This window comes from Homo sapiens, chromosome 9 (assembly GCF_000001405.40).
Source record: "Homo sapiens chromosome 9, GRCh38.p14 Primary Assembly".
Taxonomy (NCBI): Eukaryota; Metazoa; Chordata; class Mammalia; order Primates; family Hominidae; genus Homo; species Homo sapiens.
In genome coordinates, this window is record NC_000009.12 from 101685038 (window position 1) to 101704099 (window position 19062).

At 36.9% G+C, this 19062-nt stretch overlaps 1 protein-coding gene across 2 annotated transcripts in view; it reads right to left on the minus strand.

The window, feature by feature from the left end:
- GRIN3A (glutamate ionotropic receptor NMDA type subunit 3A) overlaps positions 1-19062 on the minus strand; it is a 169296-nt gene that overhangs the window by 115686 nt on the left and 34548 nt on the right. For both annotated transcript variants that reach the window (NM_133445.3, XM_011518211.3), the window contains exon 2: positions 1559-2163. In NM_133445.3, the coding sequence (NP_597702.2) occupies positions 1559-2163 (605 nt within the window). The remainder of the gene's footprint in view (positions 1-1558; positions 2164-19062) is intronic.

The following is a 19062-nucleotide window of genomic DNA, read 5'->3' on the forward strand; positions in this document are numbered from 1 at the left end:
ATGGAAATTATAATATGGGAAAAAGGGAAAGTTCAGATGATGATAGAACATCTAATTTTATTACTAATAGATTTGTAGTAAATATATTTGAAAAATTTTATTAACAACATTCTTTAAGGAGTTTACAGGTTGTGTTCAGTCTTTCACTTTTCCCTTACATATGGCATTTGGCATATTGCCTTGTACATAGTAGGTGCTCAATTTATACATACATATATATATGTAAAATTAAATGTACAACTATTTGCACCCCTTGACCTTTTATCATGTCTTTTTTTTTTTTTTTTTTTGAGACGGAGTCTCGCTGTGTTGCCCATTATCATGTCTTTTTTAAAGGTAAGAAGTTATGAGTTTGCCTTGTAGTCCTCAACATAGTCAGATACCACTGTTCCAGGATGGCCTAAAAACAGGGCCTAGTCTACAGGGAAACATTCGTCTTTGAAGAAATAATAATCTTCTGACTTGGCCTCTCTGACTACAGGTGGTCCTTTTTCAGAAGAAAGTCTAAGCCCTAATGAAATATCCTTTAAGGATATTCCCCCTTTCCCGGGAATCACCAAAACCATTTCCATATGATGTGTTGTTCTCTATTTTAAATGGACATTTTCGTTCTAGTTTCTGAATCATATTGAGGAACCGGAGCAGAAATGTATTTAATTTAAAAATAAACAAATATAATTATGAATGTATAAACAAATAAATAATATTTTATATATATATAATACTCTTATGGAACTCTTAGTTCTATTAATGTATCCTGTTTGTCTACTACCAATCTATCATCTATTATCTCTATCTATCTATCAATCATCAATCACAATGATTCTATGGGTAATAGGATCTACTCTTATATCCATTTTACATAAATGAATATAGAACAAAGGAAATTAAGGCTCAGAGAAGTTAAGTAACTTGATTAAGTCACTCAAGTAGTAAGTGGCAGTGCTAAACTTCAAGTTCAGACGGTCTGAACTTGAGTTCAAGAGTCTTTGCCTTTACTACTCTATACTGTCTTAAGCATCAAGGCCAGGGAGGAGGGAGAAAAGTCCATTTCTTGCTTGACTAATTTTTTCTTTGTATAGATTTAGAGAAACTTGATTAATTTTATTGATATGGAAAAGAGTGGGTAGGAAAAGAAACATTTATTTTGCATCTACTATAAGCTAAGCATGGTATTAGGTACTTTTCATATATAAATTTCATGGTATCTTTATTATACTATACCAAGCTATTCATTATTCTATTTTGCTAGTTAGAAAACTGAGGCTTGGAGCTTTTAAATAACTTTCCAAGAACACAACAGCTAGTAAGAAGCTAAACCAAGGTTTAAAGGCAGGATTGAGCACTCCCACTATACCATGTACTTACAAGTTTATAGATCAAATTACAGATAGCAGATCATGAAATACTAGCCTATATAACCAGAAATCCTCTAAGAAATATTATTAAAGTTTAAAGCTACTCAGAGTCAAGATTTCTGCAAAGCGGACAGATAGGGGAATTTTACTCTCTGTCATGGCCCTATGAATGGGGATATAACCGAGACCTTGCATCCTACCTTGATAAATATTGTCCTGAAGTGAGATTTGTAGTTTCCACCTCCATGCAGTTCATCGTGCTGGGAATGAGAGCAAGTTCTGGTTGGATCATGGTGGCTGTGGCTACAGCTCTTGCGACCAGCTCCATAGCATCTTGTACGTAGTGCTCAAAGACAGACTGTGTTGTTTTTCCATGAGCAATGAGCCCTAAGGGCAGACCCTCTGTCCTCAGTTCCTCCACATTCTGGGAATCTCCCAGCACCCAACGAAGTTCAGGGGGCATGACCCCAAACTGGGTTGTAATTTCGAAAATCCGCCGGATACTTTCCATGTCGCAGCCAAACATCACCACTGTGGGTGTGCTGTTCTTAATACTCTCAAGCTGGATCTGTAGGAAGCTCAAGAGGTCCTGGGTGGAGGGGAGGTTAGCGGTGATGTTGATGATAGAACCAAGGTGGAACTTGGAATTATTCTGGGTAAGGAGGAGGAAGTCGGTGATGTTCCAGTCTTCCTGGCACAGCAACAAGCTAAAATTGTACCAGTTGTTCATGGTCAGGATTGAGACAGTGACATCAGCATCAGAACTTAATGAATTTTCTAAACTCAGTTGTAGGTGAAGGGGATTCTGTATTTAAAGATATGAAAAAGAAGAATTAGAAAGCATTGGCCAAAGACTTTAACATAGGGTACTTTTGCTTTCTTATGAGGCTTAATCCTTTAATTTCACTGTGATACATAGTTCTGGGATAAAATTCCCATAGTTTGGAAAACTATGCTTCCTGTCTAATGGAACTATTGATTCCTAACAACTGATTTCCTAATAATTTTTGCTAAGAGTACCAGAGGGTGGATGGTTCTTGGTGTGAATATCAGAAGTAACACAATCATACATTTGGTTGAGGAGTTTTGTCAAGCTTGTCTACTGCCATATAGGCAGTCTCATTTATGGCTTCCCATTTCTTGGTATTGCTATTAAGACCTCATTTGTTAAACTTTGATCTCATACGCAATAAGGAGAAGAAATTACTTTTGTTTCTTTTTAAAATTAATGGCAGGAAATCTTAGCAAAATGCAGGTATTTTTATAAGGATGATGTGAAAGATGGATGCATCATAGTTTCCTAAACTTCCAGCCCCTTGAGGAAGACACTTCTAATAAGTAAAGAATAATTTTCAATACATACATCAAGACTAAGTGTGTAGTGCAATGTTAAAGGCTTGATTACTTTTCTGTATCTTCTGAACCTGGATTCTTGCTGTGAAAAGTGAAATCTGTGCCATTAAACACACTTATGTAACTTGTATCACAATTTTATCTACTTGTGGAATTCACAAACTTCATGGAAGAAGAGAAACTTATTTGAAAAGTCACAAATTAGCAGTCATATAATTGAAGTGGAAATAGTCTTCCAATGAATACATTTGTTAATTGTTGTCCTCAAGAGCAAGCATCTGACATCCTGACAATGTTTAGCACAATGTCTTATATACGTTAGGGGCACAATAAATATTGATGGAATTAACTATGTTTATTATGGGAACTATTGGATTGCTTTTAAGAGCTTGCTGAACATTCAATAATATGCATTAAGAAATGAGGAAGCCTTTCTCAGTAAAATCTCAAGCCCTTGTATGAAACGAAGAAGTGTGGCCTGTCCCTACGTACCAAAAAATGTGTAACAGGAAATAGAATTTATGCTGCACTTTAAACTCTCTGAAGGATTTAAATGACTTTGATACATGTAGAATAAAAAGTGAGGACTCCACAGAGGTTTACAGGAGGAAAACTATGACTGTAGCTACTCATGATGGTAGGTAGGATGGAGTCTTAAAATTTATTCTTAAAATTTGTTCTGAGAATTTGTCTTTTGTCTTTCCAAATTAAGCTTTTGAGCAAAGCTTGTAATGATAAAAACAGAGCGTTGGAAAAATCATCACTGGGAAGCATTCAACAGGGATGGGGAATTAGAAGCCCCTCAAGATCTTGATTACATGCTAAGTGTTCTACTGCTGTTCATGGTAGGGAGGGTAATGAAAAATGGTCTTTTTAAAATTAAAAAGGATTGGCCAGGCACGGTGGCTTGTGCCTGTACTCCTAGCACTTTGGGAGGCCGAGGCAGGATCACTTGAGGTCAGGATTTCGAGACCAGCCTGGCTGTTATGGTGAAACCCCGTCTCTACTAAAAATACAAAAATTAGCCAGAAATAGCTTGAACCTGGGAGATGGAGGTTGCAGTGAGCCAAAATTGCACCACTGTACTCCAGCCTGGGCAACACAGTGAGACTCTGTCTCAAAAATAGAATAGAATAAAATAAAAAGGATTTAGTGACAAGATCAGATGTGAGAGGCAAAAGAGAGAAAGGTCTCAAAAACCAGGAGACAGGATCCAATAGGTAGCTCTGGGTGTCCAGGCTTGAGCTGCCAGCAGGATCTTGAGGTGAGAGAAATGGAAGCTTCATTTCCTCACTCCTCATTTTGATTTGTATAAATTGCTCCTGTGTTTTCTTTTGCCCTCCTCTTTTAGCTTTCTTCCTTTCCTTCTTCCTTTTTATTTCCTCCTCTGTCTTAATCCTCTTTTAGAAGCAAAAAGCAATGGAAGGCAAGCTCCACATTTAGCTAGCAGGAACAAATTATTCCTAAGTGTTTTCTTGGCTTCAGCTCCCTATTCTGTTGCCAGTTTTCTTCCTAAAATACAAATATGACCATATCATTCTCCTGCACCATAACCTCCGAATCACCCATAGGACAGATTTAAAAATCAATAATATGGCTTAAGAGTCACGGATGAAATTGTTGCTTTCTTGCTAAATAGGAAGTTGAATTAGCTAATCATATTGAGCATTTAGTATTAGACAGAGAAACAAATCCAATAGGCATGAGAGAGAGAGACATGGGAGTGAAATGAAGACCCCTACAATGGATAATGATTAATTCATATAATCACACTCACCCCTACAAACAATTCTACTGAGAAATTCCAGATGTTGAAATTAATCCTTACACAAACTTGAGACATATTTCTTCAGAAAATTATTAAATGATAGTTTAGAAGCATCTAATGAGATATTATTGATTTAGCAGCCTCAGATGCAGTGTTTTCCAATTTCTCCCCATATAAGGACAAAGGCACACACATATGCACATGCATACACATGCACACACACACATACACACACACACACACACACACACACACACAAAGATTATGAAAACTTATAACACTAAAATTCAAGCCTGATAGTAAAATTTTTGTCAAAATCCAGGACAAAAATTAAACAAGACCTATTGAGTAAAATTGAAAAGGAAAATCTGTGTCTTACATATGGTTTGTTGTTTGCAAAAGAGCAAGCTCATGGCCTGAAAGAAGATATAAAGATTTTAAAAGTAATTTCCATATTGTTTTTCTCCTAAATCAGAGATCCAGAAACAGAACAACTCAAGAAATAGGAAGCCTGTCTCTATCATGCAGATAGAGTGAAACTGCCTTATAGGTACATTCAATTTATCTATATTAAAATAAACAGGCTCAGAAGAGAGAGGTGGGAGGGAGAAAATATGAATTTAAATAGTACTGATAATTCTCATTCCCTTAAATAAGTGTGCTACTTATTATATTATGGTATATTATTTATATTATCACATACTTTAATGTAGCTATATTATTTTTCATATTGTATACACAAAACCATATATGTCAAGCTAAATAGGTAATTTAAAAGATTTTAAAATGTAATTTTTCTACACTTTGAATTGAATCTTCATTTCTAGTGGAGATGAAACTCCACTCTACTCCATTAATTTTGCAGGTTTTGTTCCATCATAATCTGGTTAGACATTGTTTCAGAGCCTGAAATTTCCAAAAGAATAGGGCAGGAAATATGGCTGGGGAATGTGTGTGCTGCCATGCACTCGTAGAATGAAATCCCAAGTAAGTGCAGAGCTGCAGGGAGAGAGGAGTCACCAAGAAGTTGGTTCAAAGCATCAAAGAATCATTCAGTGGTGTGGGAGAAGATTGCTTAACCCGCTATGGATCAGACTGTAAATATTAAAGTTCCATATACAGAAAAATCAGGCAAGAGTGGTAAAAATATTTGGAAAAAGAAAATGATAGGCCTTGCTTTGGAGGATATTAGAACACATTAGAAAATGTCATTTTTATAAAGCAATAATAATTAAAACAGGGAAGCACTAATAGGTACTAATAGGTACTAATGGAGTATTAAATTACTGTGTTATAAATTAAAATAACAAAGAAATAGGGAAGGAAATAGGATATTAGAATTTGAGAAAATAGATTAGTTAGAAAAATAACAATTAAATTTCTCATTACATCATATATTAAAAATATGTTCCAGGCCATTAAAGAGCTAAAAGTACAATATCAAATCATTAAAAGATAGACCAAAAGGTAAATATGTATCAGAAATTACAATAATAAAAGGAAAACATTGAATTATCACAGCACACCGTATTTTTAGTTTTAAACACCTATCATAAAAAATAAAGGAACATGAAAAACAAGAGAATATTAGTAATAAATTGGGTAGACAAAGAGTTAATGTTCACCAAATGTATAAAACATTTACTAGTCAATAAGGAAATAGAAGCCTTTACTGAACACTTATTCAATCATGAAAAATAATTTTAAGCTCCTACCTTGAGCCATGACCTCTGCATGGCATTTCCTGTTGTCTCTATGGTGGATGAGAGATAGACAATATGTAACTAACTATATGAATAAACACTTCCTATAACTAGAAGTCATGAAAATTACTGTAAATGAAATAATAGGGTCCAGCAAAACTAGGAGAGGAAGAAGAAACTAGGAAATATTAATTTAGTAATTATGATTTGTAGGGGTTGGGAGAGACGAGTATTTGTACTATACAAGCGTTCTTTAATTGGGACTTAAGAAAAAAACGAGATGTATTTGAAAACAATTGATCACTATATAGGTAAATATATATAATGATTTATAAAAGTAAACACATTTAACTAAAAATGTAGTCTCATTTTGACCATCCATTCTTCTTTGACTGGGTACTGTCTTCCTAGTCTCAGATAAATGGTTGGAGCCACCATCTGCTTCTATATTTCCTGTGCGATTCTGCATTGTCCTCTTCAGCAGGTTCTACAGTGTCCTTAAGTTCTAAGTTTTCCTTGCTGGTGGGGCCACTGTCTTCTTCAGCAGTTGGGCTTTTCTGTCCTCTTTTGAGAAGCAGTATAGAGGTTAGGACTTAGTAGTCAGGGCAACCTATGCTTAAGTTCTGTCTCCATGATTTATGCACCATGTGGCCTTTTGTAAGTCATTTAGTATCTCTGAGTCATACCTCCCTCATCTCTAAAATGAGGACAATGCTACTTCCTAACTTATGGATTCATTTTGAGAATTAAATGTAAGAATGTGAGAATGCATGGAAAGTGCCTGGCGCAGAGTGAGGGCCCATAAGTAGTAGTTGTTACAATTGACTTACAGAGTTTAGTCACTGTTGGAAGTGACTGACTGCAATACAGTATTTTTCTTTGCTTTTGCTCCTTCTCCTTTTTCTTGTCTATTTTCATACAATGGTCTCAGCAATAGATATCTTTTACAAACATAAATTACACCAACTTCTCAGCAGGAAAACAGAAGTGCTCTGTAACATATTGGGAGAGGCTGTTTATTTGGGAGATACTATGTTTACAGTAGAGTCCTCCCCACACCCCCAACTCTTCTTTCTTTAGTAACAAGCTCCAGTACCAGTCAGCATGCAAGTTAAGGAATTCTTGGTGCCAACTCCTGGAGATCCCTCATCAGTCTTTGTTCTCTCAGAGAGCACAGATTCTGCTAGTTTGTGGATTAGTAAGAGTTTCAAAAACAGGATTGCCTGCAGGAAAGAGTTTGCCACAGAGCTTTGAGATATTCCCTGACTGAATAAAAGAGGTGATGGGGCTGGGTTTAAGAGAAGAGAAAAGATGCAATTCTCTCAGCTCTTTCCTGGGCAAGGGGAACCAAATGAGCTAGGTCAAAGCCCAAAAAGCTCAAGTGAACATAATGTTTCCACTGCTTTTACCAGAGATGAAATTTCCTTCCTTTCATCCGTCTGCTGATTACTAAATACATTTGAGAGGCTCAGAACAGGCTTTCTACACAGCTATCGCTTCTCCTCAGCCAAAGAGGCTGCAGGAGGTTTTCTGTTTCTCATTATCTCACATCTCATTTGACCTATATTATACAGAAGACTTTTTCTTCTGAAAATTAAAGATTGTTCCTTTAGCAGCCCAGGCTTTTAAATAAATTAACTATTCTTATGGTTACATTAAGGACACAGACAAGCATAAGGTGTAGTCCCTGCCCAGAAATTGTAATTTAATAATAATTATACAAATGAAGAGCTAATACCTACTGATGTCCCTAGTGCCTTATGCATATTATTTTATTTCATCCTCACAATGGCCTCATGAGGTGACTGCAATGATCATCCCCCTTTAATAGAAGACAAAATCAAGGTTCAGAAAAAGTGAGTAATTTTCCCAAGGTGGCACAGCTACTAAGAAATAGAGCTTGGGCCAGGTGTAGTGGCTCATGCCTTTAATTCCAGTGCTTTGGGAGGCTGAGGTGGTAGATCACCTGAGGTCATGAGTTTGAGACCAGCCTGGCTAAGATGGTGAAACCCCATCTCAGCTAAAATATATATATATATATATATATATATATTGCACGGAGGGGTCACACGTGCCTGTAATCCCAGCTACTCAGGAAACTGAGGAACGAGAGTTGCTTGAGTCTGGAGGCAGAGGTTGCAGTGAGTCAAGATTGTGCCACTGCACTTCAGCCTGGGTGCAGAGTGAGACTCTGTCTAAAAGAAAAAAAAAATAGAGCCTGAATTCAAAACCACAATTTGTTGGACTCAAAAGCCTGTGCTTTTACCTATTATTCTATACTGTTCCCTCTACTTGATAAAAGCAACATGTGCAGTAGATCCTTGACATTTGTAGATTTAATAATTTCCAATTATTTGCCAGTAATCCTAAAGGCCCATGGAATAAAGCCACTTGTAAGGTGTCTGAGGCATGAGTTAGAATGACATTCCCTGTGTTTCTGGGCCATGGGAGTCAGGGAGTCTCCAGCCTGCTGCCCAGTGTGCACATGGCTTCCCAGCTGTTTTCTTCGCTCATCCTCCCATATGTAGCAATTCTTGTGAAATGATGAAACTTGTATTTCTTCATGAACAACACTTTAAAAAAGAATGATAGTTGCATAATTAATGACATCAGTTTTGTGTTTGGTAGAGTAAGCAAGTTTGGAAAAGCTCACCTAAAGTTTTCATTTCAATTCTACTGAATTTCATGGTCAAAATTATATTCTAGACTATGTTCAACACCACATATGGGGATGTCAACAAAGATCTTAGCACATATCTCTCAGGATTTTTGAGTGGCTGATATATTAAAGAATATATAACAGAGCAGTACAATATAATGAATGTTTCAGAAGGCAGGATTATCCCTGCATGGTGCAGTTGACATAATATTGCTGGCAATGCTAGGTATGGTCTATTTCATTGCAGCAGTGTTGGAAAGGCTGAAAGGTTTGGTGATCTGGAACAGGGCCCACTTCTTAAAATAGAGTATACACAATTAGAAGAAAGTGTTGGCATGCACAACACCACTGTCTTCAAAGACAGCCAGCTTATTTATTCATACAACAAATTATTTTAAAGTCCATTTTATACCAGGCTATGGGTAAAGAATTGCATGTCTTCAGGCAGAAGAAATAGCAGGAGCATGCATATTACATTCTTTGAGCTAACCAATTCTTCTGAGCCCCAGGATGATTTACAGAAAGGAGTGTCGGGCATAACAGGTTGATTGTTGGTAATCACTCAAGCTACCTGCACCAAGCTTCTAATCATGGACTTTTTTCCCATGATAATTCCACCTAATTATTGATACCCAACTCATTCATCTACACATCATCCCATTTCTGCCTTTTGTTCAGTATGGTTACACTTTGTTTCTCTCACCCAAACCTTGGTAATCTTGAAAGCATTTGACTCACTCATTCTCTGGGTCCTATTCTCCCAGCCCACTCATATAAATTATGCCCCACACAAATACAACTTTTGGGGCTTAAAAAATGCCACCAACATACTTGGGAATGAGAGAGCTTTGATCAAAGGGCATGGCTACAGAAGATATTTAGTCATATGGTGACTTAGGAGGGCAGTCTGTTCAGGCAAGATGTTCCAACATGGGGAAGGGTAATCCAAGAACAGATAATCATTAGAAATGTGGGCATTTGACATAAAGAAAGACTATTAGTAAGCAATGAAATCCAAAACCTTGGTCAGAACTTCAGAGAGTCACTGCAATCTTCAGGAGCGTCTAGAAAGAGGTGGCTTTATTTGGAGTCACTCACATCTTCATTTGAATTATTGTTCTTCGATTTACCAATTATATATGTGAGACCTTGTGAAAACCATTTTCCTCTTTTGCGTAATGAAAATGGTACTGTTTACCTTATAACTTTTGTAAAGATTGAATAGCATGTATGCAAAGCATCAGTACAGTCATACCCAGAAAGTGTTAGTTTATAATGATGGTGACCATGTTGAGATTAGGAAGTTTACACTAAGAGACCTGATGTGCAAGAGCTAGAGTGGTGGTGCATTCAGTTCATTTAACAAGCACTTGAGTACCTATTTTGTGTCAGGCACTGGCTACTGATTGCTGAGACTACAGTAGTGAAAATAATCAATACGGTCTTTTCTTTCAGGATTTTAAAATCTAGGGGGCAGTATTATCAGCACCAAGAAACAAATTGAGGAATAGATTAGGAATAAGACAGTAGCAGACAAGAAATAAGGCCCCCAGTTTGAGCCAGTCTAAAAGGAATGGTGATGTAATTTTTGAGTTTTAGATTTGAGACAAATATCTTCATTCCAGCCTACATTTTAGACTAGCCCTGGTTACTAGAGCAAGACCAAGTCCGCAGGTGGAGGTCAAAGGACCATAGATGAGTGGAAAGAGAGGAGGTGGCTGGAAATGTGACAGCAGAACCTGACAATTAAGGAAGCTTCATCACATGCCTGACACGTAGTAACTGCTTGATAAATATTAGCCTTATTATTACTATTGTTAATTATCATTAGCAAACTTCTTTGTGCTGACGTAATTGATCCTTTCCCAATGACTCGTAGTATTCTGATGTCAACACCAGTCATTATGCCTGGAAGCCAGACCATAATGTGCTCAGAGGCTACAGAGACAACTGGTTTCCATGTTGACTGAATCAAGTGGAGCCAAGCTTTTGGAAATGCTGGAGCTCTCGAGCCTCTTTAGAAAATGCATTTTCTCTCTTTCTTGCCAGTGTTAGGTACTTGCTATCCCTTTTGCTATGTCACTGTGCCTACCTTCATTACTCCCTTGCACTCTCTTTTAATATGCTTTGAGCTAAAGAGAAAGCCTACCTAGCATGTTACAATTTCATTTCATGAGAGTAAAATACATCAGAGACTATCTCATAGGCGAAATAGACCAGCATTAGCAGCACTGAGGAGGGTAAGGACCGGATTAGAGATCCGGACTCTTGTCAGGAACTTGGACTTGCATTTTTCAACTTTGAAAGGGGAATAATACTAATTGTCAAACAACTACTTCAGAGAGATGTGGGGACCACATGATATTATGCATGTGAAAGTGCTTTATGAAGTGGAGAATATTATAAAAATAGAAGACATAATGCATTTGCTTATCTGTTTCCTGGACAGTAGGAATAGTGGAATCAATAACCCAGTCAGGGATGAAAGAGGCATTTCTGCAGTAGGATGTTAAAGCTAGATATAATTTTCAAATCTGATGCCAACTTCTTAATCTGTATATCATAAAGAGTAAGATTATTTGCTGAATTTTAAGAACTTTTGGAATAAAGATGTTGCTCTAGGACTGATTTTAGTTCCTAATTCACCACCTTGGTTTTGGTCAAATTAAGTAACATCTGAAGGAACATACACAGGCAGATGATTTACAAGATAATTAAAATTTATTGAATATTAACATCATTGTTACAGACATTCACTGTGACAAACTTGGACATATTTTCTTATAATGGGAACTATTGAAATATGCACCAGATAATTAAACTGTCTAGCATGCAAGTTAAATTCCCTATAGAAATTTGATTACTTTATGTCAATGCAGCCTGAAACTATTATTAAGAGATGGCATATGTCACATGCTAATTTGCTTTATTGCATTAAGAATGAAAACTCAGCTAAACGCTGATTATTTTTATTTTAAAGACCCTCTAGAACTGATACCATAGTTGACATAAACTTTTTCTCTCAATTCCATACTCTCAAGACATTTAAAACATTGATATAAGGATGTTTTGTATGTCAAAATCACAGTTCAACTAATTGTGATGTAATATGCCTTTTATATATATTGGTTTATCACTTCAGAATAATTTCATAATTATTAAATCAGCTTTACTGTATAATGGCTTATTTCATTTGAGAATTCAAACACTTTTTATTGATTCACATTCATTGCTTGCTACCTGACATTGACGAGCTTAACACTAGAAATAGTATTAGTATAACATTAAGCAGTATCTCAATACATTTCTATTTTAACACCTTATTTCAAAACTTGTGATCTATTAATTATGATTACACTTTGCTGCAATGACATTTTATTTCACTTTAATTGTGGAATACATCAGTATAGTTAACTCTTTGTACCTTTCAAATCATGGTTGAAAGTAAAGAGACATTGAGAATGTTGAATTTAGTTCTTAAAGTCTTTGGTCACAGAGGCAATACTTTCCCATGAATTAGTAATCAAACTCAAAGGCTCTTCAAGCAGCTCTGATGACCTCAGGCCCAGGACCATGAATCCTAAATGAACAGGTCTGTGTCTTTCAGGAAGGTCTACGTGAGCATTGTTACGGAATAAGAAATGAAAAAAATGTCTGGTTGGCTACTTTTCAAATATAACATTTGGGTTTCATCTGGCCCTTGTTGTAAACTCACTTGTCAAATCATTGCCTGCATCCACTGAAGCCCAGTATAATCACAAAGGGCAGAAATATTTAGTTTCAACAGTCCACCAGAAACCAATTAGTGCACTTATGACTTTGTCATTTGGTTTGGAAGGGAACTTAAAGCTCACCTATATCAAACTCTTGTACAGTTTATAGAATGCCACAAATTAAGGGGCAGGAGTGAATTAGAGGCATTTCTCTTTCTATTATAAAGGTTAATAATTTGTTGAGTTGAGATCATCCATCTTCAATATAATTTTTAATGAGTATGACTTAATTTTAATATGTATAAATGATACTTGTGGTTAATTTTACCTCCTGAATTTTAAAGGAAAGATTCTGGCTTAGCTAAAACATGCACACTCCAACACCTCTCTGTAATGCTTAAGCCACACATAATTGCCATTTATAAGAGAGGAATAAAGAACACACTGATTTATGAAGTTACTAATTTTTCTTCTCCACTGTGACAAACATACAATCACATGTCTTATGAGGACAGAAACATTAATTACTAATATAGTTAATGCAAAAAAAGTCCAAATCTAGTCAAATACATTTTCTGGGTTTACATAAGATTTACTGTAAGAATCCTGAAATTATTTCTGCCTGAAATTGTTTGCTATTTAATATCCTCATTTTGTTAGCATTACTTAGCATCTATTGGTGTTATTTTCTTTGAGATGCTTGCATATTACATCAAAAGCTTTTAGAATTTAAAATGGAAAGAATTTCCAAAGACTATTATTACATTTCCTAGAGTAGTCCAGTGAGCACAGACTGACAAAGAAAGCAGGGACCTTGAGAGATCCTTATTACAGTCGTGCGTCACTTAACGATGAGGGTACTGTCATTAGGTAATTTCATCATATGAACATCATAGCGTGCACTTACACAAGCCTAGATGGCATAACCTACTACACCCCTAGGCTACATAGTATAACCTATTACTCCTAGGCTGCAGACTTGAACAGCATGTTACTATGCTGAATACTGTAGTCAATTACAACATAATGGTATCTAAACATATCTGAACACTGTACATTTAGGCTACACAAAGTTTATTTATTTATGTATTTTTGAGACAGAGTCTCACTCTCTCAGCCAGGCTGGAGTGCAGTGGCGGGATCTTTGTCTCACTATAACCTCCGGCTCCTGGGTTCAAGCGATTCTTCTGCCTCAGCCTCCCAAGTAGATGGGACTACAGGTGCGAGCCACCACGCCTGGCTAATTTCTTGTATTTTTAGTAGAGATGGGGTTTCACCATGTTAGCCAGGATGGTCTCAATCTCCCGACCTCATGATCTGCCCACGTTGGTCTCCCAAAGTGCTGGGATTACAGGTGTGAGCCACTGCGCCTGGCCTACACTAAATTTATTAGAAAGTTTTCTTTCTTCAATAGTAAATTAACTTTAGTTTAATGTAACTCTAATTTTTAAAAAACCTTTTTGACTCTTGAAATAACACAGTATAAAACACATCGTAGAGCTGTACAAAAATGTTTTCTTCCTTTATATCCTTATTCTATAAGTTTTTTTGTATTAATTTGTTTTTATTTTTTAAAACTTTTTGTTAAAAATAAAGATATGAACAGATATTAGCCTAGGCCTACACAGGTTCAGGATCATCCATATCACTGACTTCCACCTCTACCTCTTCTCCCACTGGAAGGTCTTCAATGACAATGCATGGGGCTGTCATTGCCCATGATAAAAATGCTGCCTTCTGGAATACCTCCTGAAGGACCTGCCTGAGGTTGTTTCACAATTAACTTAAAAAAAATAAGTAGAAGGAATAACCTCTAAAATAACCATAAACAGTATAGTAAATACTTGGTAATAGGTTTTCTTCAACTCCATTATAATTTATAGAATCACTGTTGTATATGTGGTCCATGAATGTTATGCAGCACATGACTGTATTTCTGGATAAAGAGAGAATTGCTAACCAGCCCTTATATCATAGTCTAGCATCTCAAAACACTAAATTCATAATGCTGATGATTTATTTTATATCTTTCTTGTCTGGGTCATGGATGATCCTGAAGACTCAGGATCTCTTGCCTCCCTTCCCAGACTATGCATGAGCCATCACAGCAGACTGTTATATATCCCCATGTATTCTAGCTGTTGTGCTTATCTTCTTTGAAGAACAACAGTGGTGTTTCTTGTCCTGTTTGTTAAATTGTCTAAATATATCTTAGTTTCTGATGACCTTCAAAGCCATTCCAAAAAAACTTGGAATTCCCCAAATGCTCCAAGTTCTCTTGCCTCTACATCCACAGGTAAGTCATTTTCTCTGCCCAGAACTTGCTTTGCCTCTTTTTTTTGCATCGTCAACTCCCAGTCAACTTTCAAGGCTGTGTTCAGGTTTCTTATGCGGTTAAACATCCCTTTCCTGCCTCATTCTCAAGGTGTATTACCTGTCTCTCTTCATCTTCTGCCCCATCACCCTCTGTACAACCCCCAATAACTTATTACATGTTATAGTCATTATTAGTCTACTCATCTCTCTCCTTCCCTGGACTGTTCAGAAGACAGAGATGCTGTTTTATATAGTAAAATTCCAAATAACAGTGTCCAGAAAATGACAGACTCACAGAAGAGATTTGCTGATTGAATGAATAAATGGGTAAATGGTGATGTGTAGTTTAGATTTACAGGAAGAAGGCTGACCTTTGGCTGAAGAGTATGTCTATTTTTTATGAGTCATTTTCCTTCCAAGTTGACAAATATGGTTTCTACCTAGAGGCAAGAGTAATTATGATTTGCTTTCCCATAAAATCGTATTCTATCAGGTGGCACAGATCTTTTCTGATGTCAATCAGAAAACTGGCACCTGAATGCTGAAAGAATTCACAAAATTGCTCAAGTGTATACATGTCTGAGGCACTGGCTGGAAATACAGGCAAATCATGATATGTGCAAACTCAATGTGTGTCCTTCATTTACTTTATACTAAAGATGGTTGGGTGGAAAATATTTATTGTGCTTTATAAATTATTCATAATACAATTATTATGAATTATTCAAAATAGAATTTGTTTAAATGCTCAACACTGATATATATTTAAAATAATTCAATATAAGAATGTATCAATATTGGGTCAACTTTTCAGTTATTTATCTGCTATCTAAAGCGAGGTACCATTATAGAACTGGAGACATAACTGAAATTTCAGTAATCCACATAGAATGGTATCCTAATGAAGTAAAAATAGAAATGACAGTAAATAAAGAAGAAAATGTTAAGAGAAAGGAAAAGACAAAGAAAGATGTCAGAAGTTTTATCAAGATTTTAAATGCTAAAATAACACATCTATTATCATTATGGATCCTAGAAAGTACCTTAGTATTTTGCATAAAAGAGAAAGCAATTAGGTCTCTGTTTACTTGGAGTTAGAGACACAATTACTCATGGCATGGAGGATGGGAGAAGGAAACATGGACAACTACCGCGAAACTTCTCCCCTCTTCTTGCCCCAGATTTGCCACTAAGGGTATATGTTGGAAATGCTTATTTTTTTCACAGGGAAATAAAGCTCAGATTACTATGAATCTAAGTGAGGTGGGCCCAGAATTAGTTTCTGAAGTGCCTGGTAACTTTCTTTCTTTCTTTTAACTTTTAGGTTCAGGGCTACATGTGCAGGATGTGCAGATTTGTTACATAGGTAAACGTATGTCATGGGGGTTTGTTGTACAGATTATTTCATCACCGACGTATTAAGTCTAGTACCCATTAGTTGTTTATCCTGATCTTCTCCCTCCTCCCACCCTCCAGTAGGCTGCTGTGTGTATTGTTCCCCTCTATGTGTCCATGTAGTCTCATCATTTAGCTCCCACTTGTAAGTGAGACCATGCCTAGCCATTGCAGAAAATTGAAACTGGGCCCCTACCTTTCACCATATACAAAAATCAACTCAAGATGGATTAAAAGCCTCACTGTAAAACCCCAAACTACGAAAACCCTAGGAAAACAAACAAACAAACAAACAGACAAAAAACCTTGACAATACCATTCAGGACATTGGCACAGACAAAGATTTCATGATGAAGATGCCGAAAGCAGTTGCAACGAAAGCAAAAATTGACAAATGGGACCTAATTAAGCCAAAGAGCTTCTGCACAGCAAAAGAAACTATCAACAGAGTAAACAGACAACATACAGAATAGGAGAAAATTTTTGCAAACTTTCAATTATATAGATGATTAGGAGTTTTTTCATTCCTCTCTCTTACCTCCCCAATGACCTTGTTCTGGAATCTGTATCAGCAGTCTCTCTCTATCCTGAGATCTCCCACCAGCTTACAGATATTCTTAGTATCATCTACTTTCCTCCTTCAGCTTCTATTCCATACAGATTTTTTTTTTTCAGTACAAGCCTGAGATTTGTGTATACTTAAAATCTTCATTTCTTCGCTGGGCGTGGTGGCTAACGCCTGTAATCTCAGCACCTTGTGAGGCCAAATTGGGCGAATCACTTGAGGCCAGGAGTTCAAGACCAGCCTGGCCAACATGGTGAAGCTCTGTCTCTACTAAAAATACAAAAATTAGCCAGGTGTGGTAGCATATGCCTGTAATGTCAGCTACTCAGGTGGCTGAGGCACGAGAATTGCTTGAACCTGGGAGGCAGAGGTTGCAGTGAGCTGAGATCACCCCACTGCACCTCAGCCTGGTTGACAGAGTGAGACTCTAATCTCCAAAAAAAAATTTTTTTATTTATTCACTTTACATTTTCTTATCCAATCAGGCCTTGAAACTCACCATCCATCCAAACAACTTTTATAACAATCATCAATGATCAATGCTGAAAAGCTTGATTTTCAGTGTACATATGACTCACCTCTACATACCTTTCAGCACAGTTGTTCACTCCCTCTTGAAATACCTCATCCTCTAGGCTTCTCAGTCTCATAGGCCTTGTTTTCTGATCTCAGCAGTTGATTCTTCCCAGTCTGTCATTTCTCTAAGTTTGGTGTGCCACAGGCCACTGTCTTTGCCTCTCTTCTTATCTGCACTCTCACTAAATTTAGATATCATCTATACCCCTTATTCTTCAATACAGAGATCTTATATATTGGACTCCATTCTTGATATCTCCTTTAGGGTTGCTGTTAGGCATCTGAAACTTAAGAAGTCCAGACAAATGTATTACTTTCTTTTCTCTATCCCCACTCTAGATACCCCTGCCAAATTCACTTCTCTCAAAGCCCTTCTCAAGTCACCATGACTGCACCATCACTCACACCAACTGCTCAGGCCAAAAACGAAGAAATCAGCTTTTAATCTCTCTTTTTCTTCTTGTCACTCCTTAATCCATCAGTTAGTCCCATTCACTCCAAAATATATCCTGAATTCAATCACTTTCATCATCTCCTTGCTTGTACAGTAAGCCTCCATGTCTATCACCTGGTCTACGGTGACAGACTATTGTGACAGACTCACTGGTATCCCTGCCTCCACCACTGCCTATTCAGTAATTAGTTTGACACACAGACAGCAGGCAGAGTGATTTTTAGAAAAAAATCTAAATTCACATTTTTCCTTTGCTTAAAACACTTCAATAGCTTCCTCATTGCAACTAAAGCAAAATACAAGCTCTTTACTCTCTGCCCTAAATGATCTGGCCTTGCTTACTGTTCTCACCTCACTTATTCCACCCACGTGGTCCCAAAGCCTTGAGGTTCAAGCTAGTTCCTGTCTCATACCCTGGTGGTTGCTGCTCCATCTGAGTGGAACCTTCTTCCTCTAGATCACTATGCGGCTGATTCTTTCTTCACATTCAGGTCTCAGCTCATATTTCAGAGCTGTCCTCCCTGACATTAGCAATCTCCTCACAGCACCACCCACCATCAAATGCATATTTTCTTTTTATGACACTATTTTATCTTCCTCAGAGCACAGTCAATAGCTGAAATTATCTTACTTAGTTCTTCATGAGTTTGCTAAACAATTCCTCACTACTAAACTGTAAGTCCCTAGAGGGTCCAGACATTTGTTCCTCACTATAATCTCAGGACCTAGGAAAACGTTCAGTGGCATTTGGTGGCTGACTTACTGACTCAGGATGTCTCTGTATCATGCATTAAAATTTATCTTTCTACTGAAGAGCTCACATTTTGATTGATAACGCATTTCTCAGAAATTGTCCTTGTGGAATTGTTTTGGGGGCTTATTATTTATTATCGTTACTCTGGGGTTTATTATTAATTCGTTTTGGCTGACCTGTAGAAATCTGTCTTTTTGGCTGCCTCTGTCTCGAGCAATCCCAGTCTGATACTCCCTCTGCCTCCACTACTGTCTCTTCATCAACATCTCCATCTTGATCTTATCTCTATCTTGGTCTCTAATATCTTTATCTAATTTAGTTCCTTTGAGGCTTTATTTTTGTATTCCTCTTTTGTTTAAACACAAGCGAAAGGGCTTCCTTTAAAATGAGCGTAATAATGGCAAACAACGGTATTTACTAAGCATTAGAAACCATTATCATCATATCC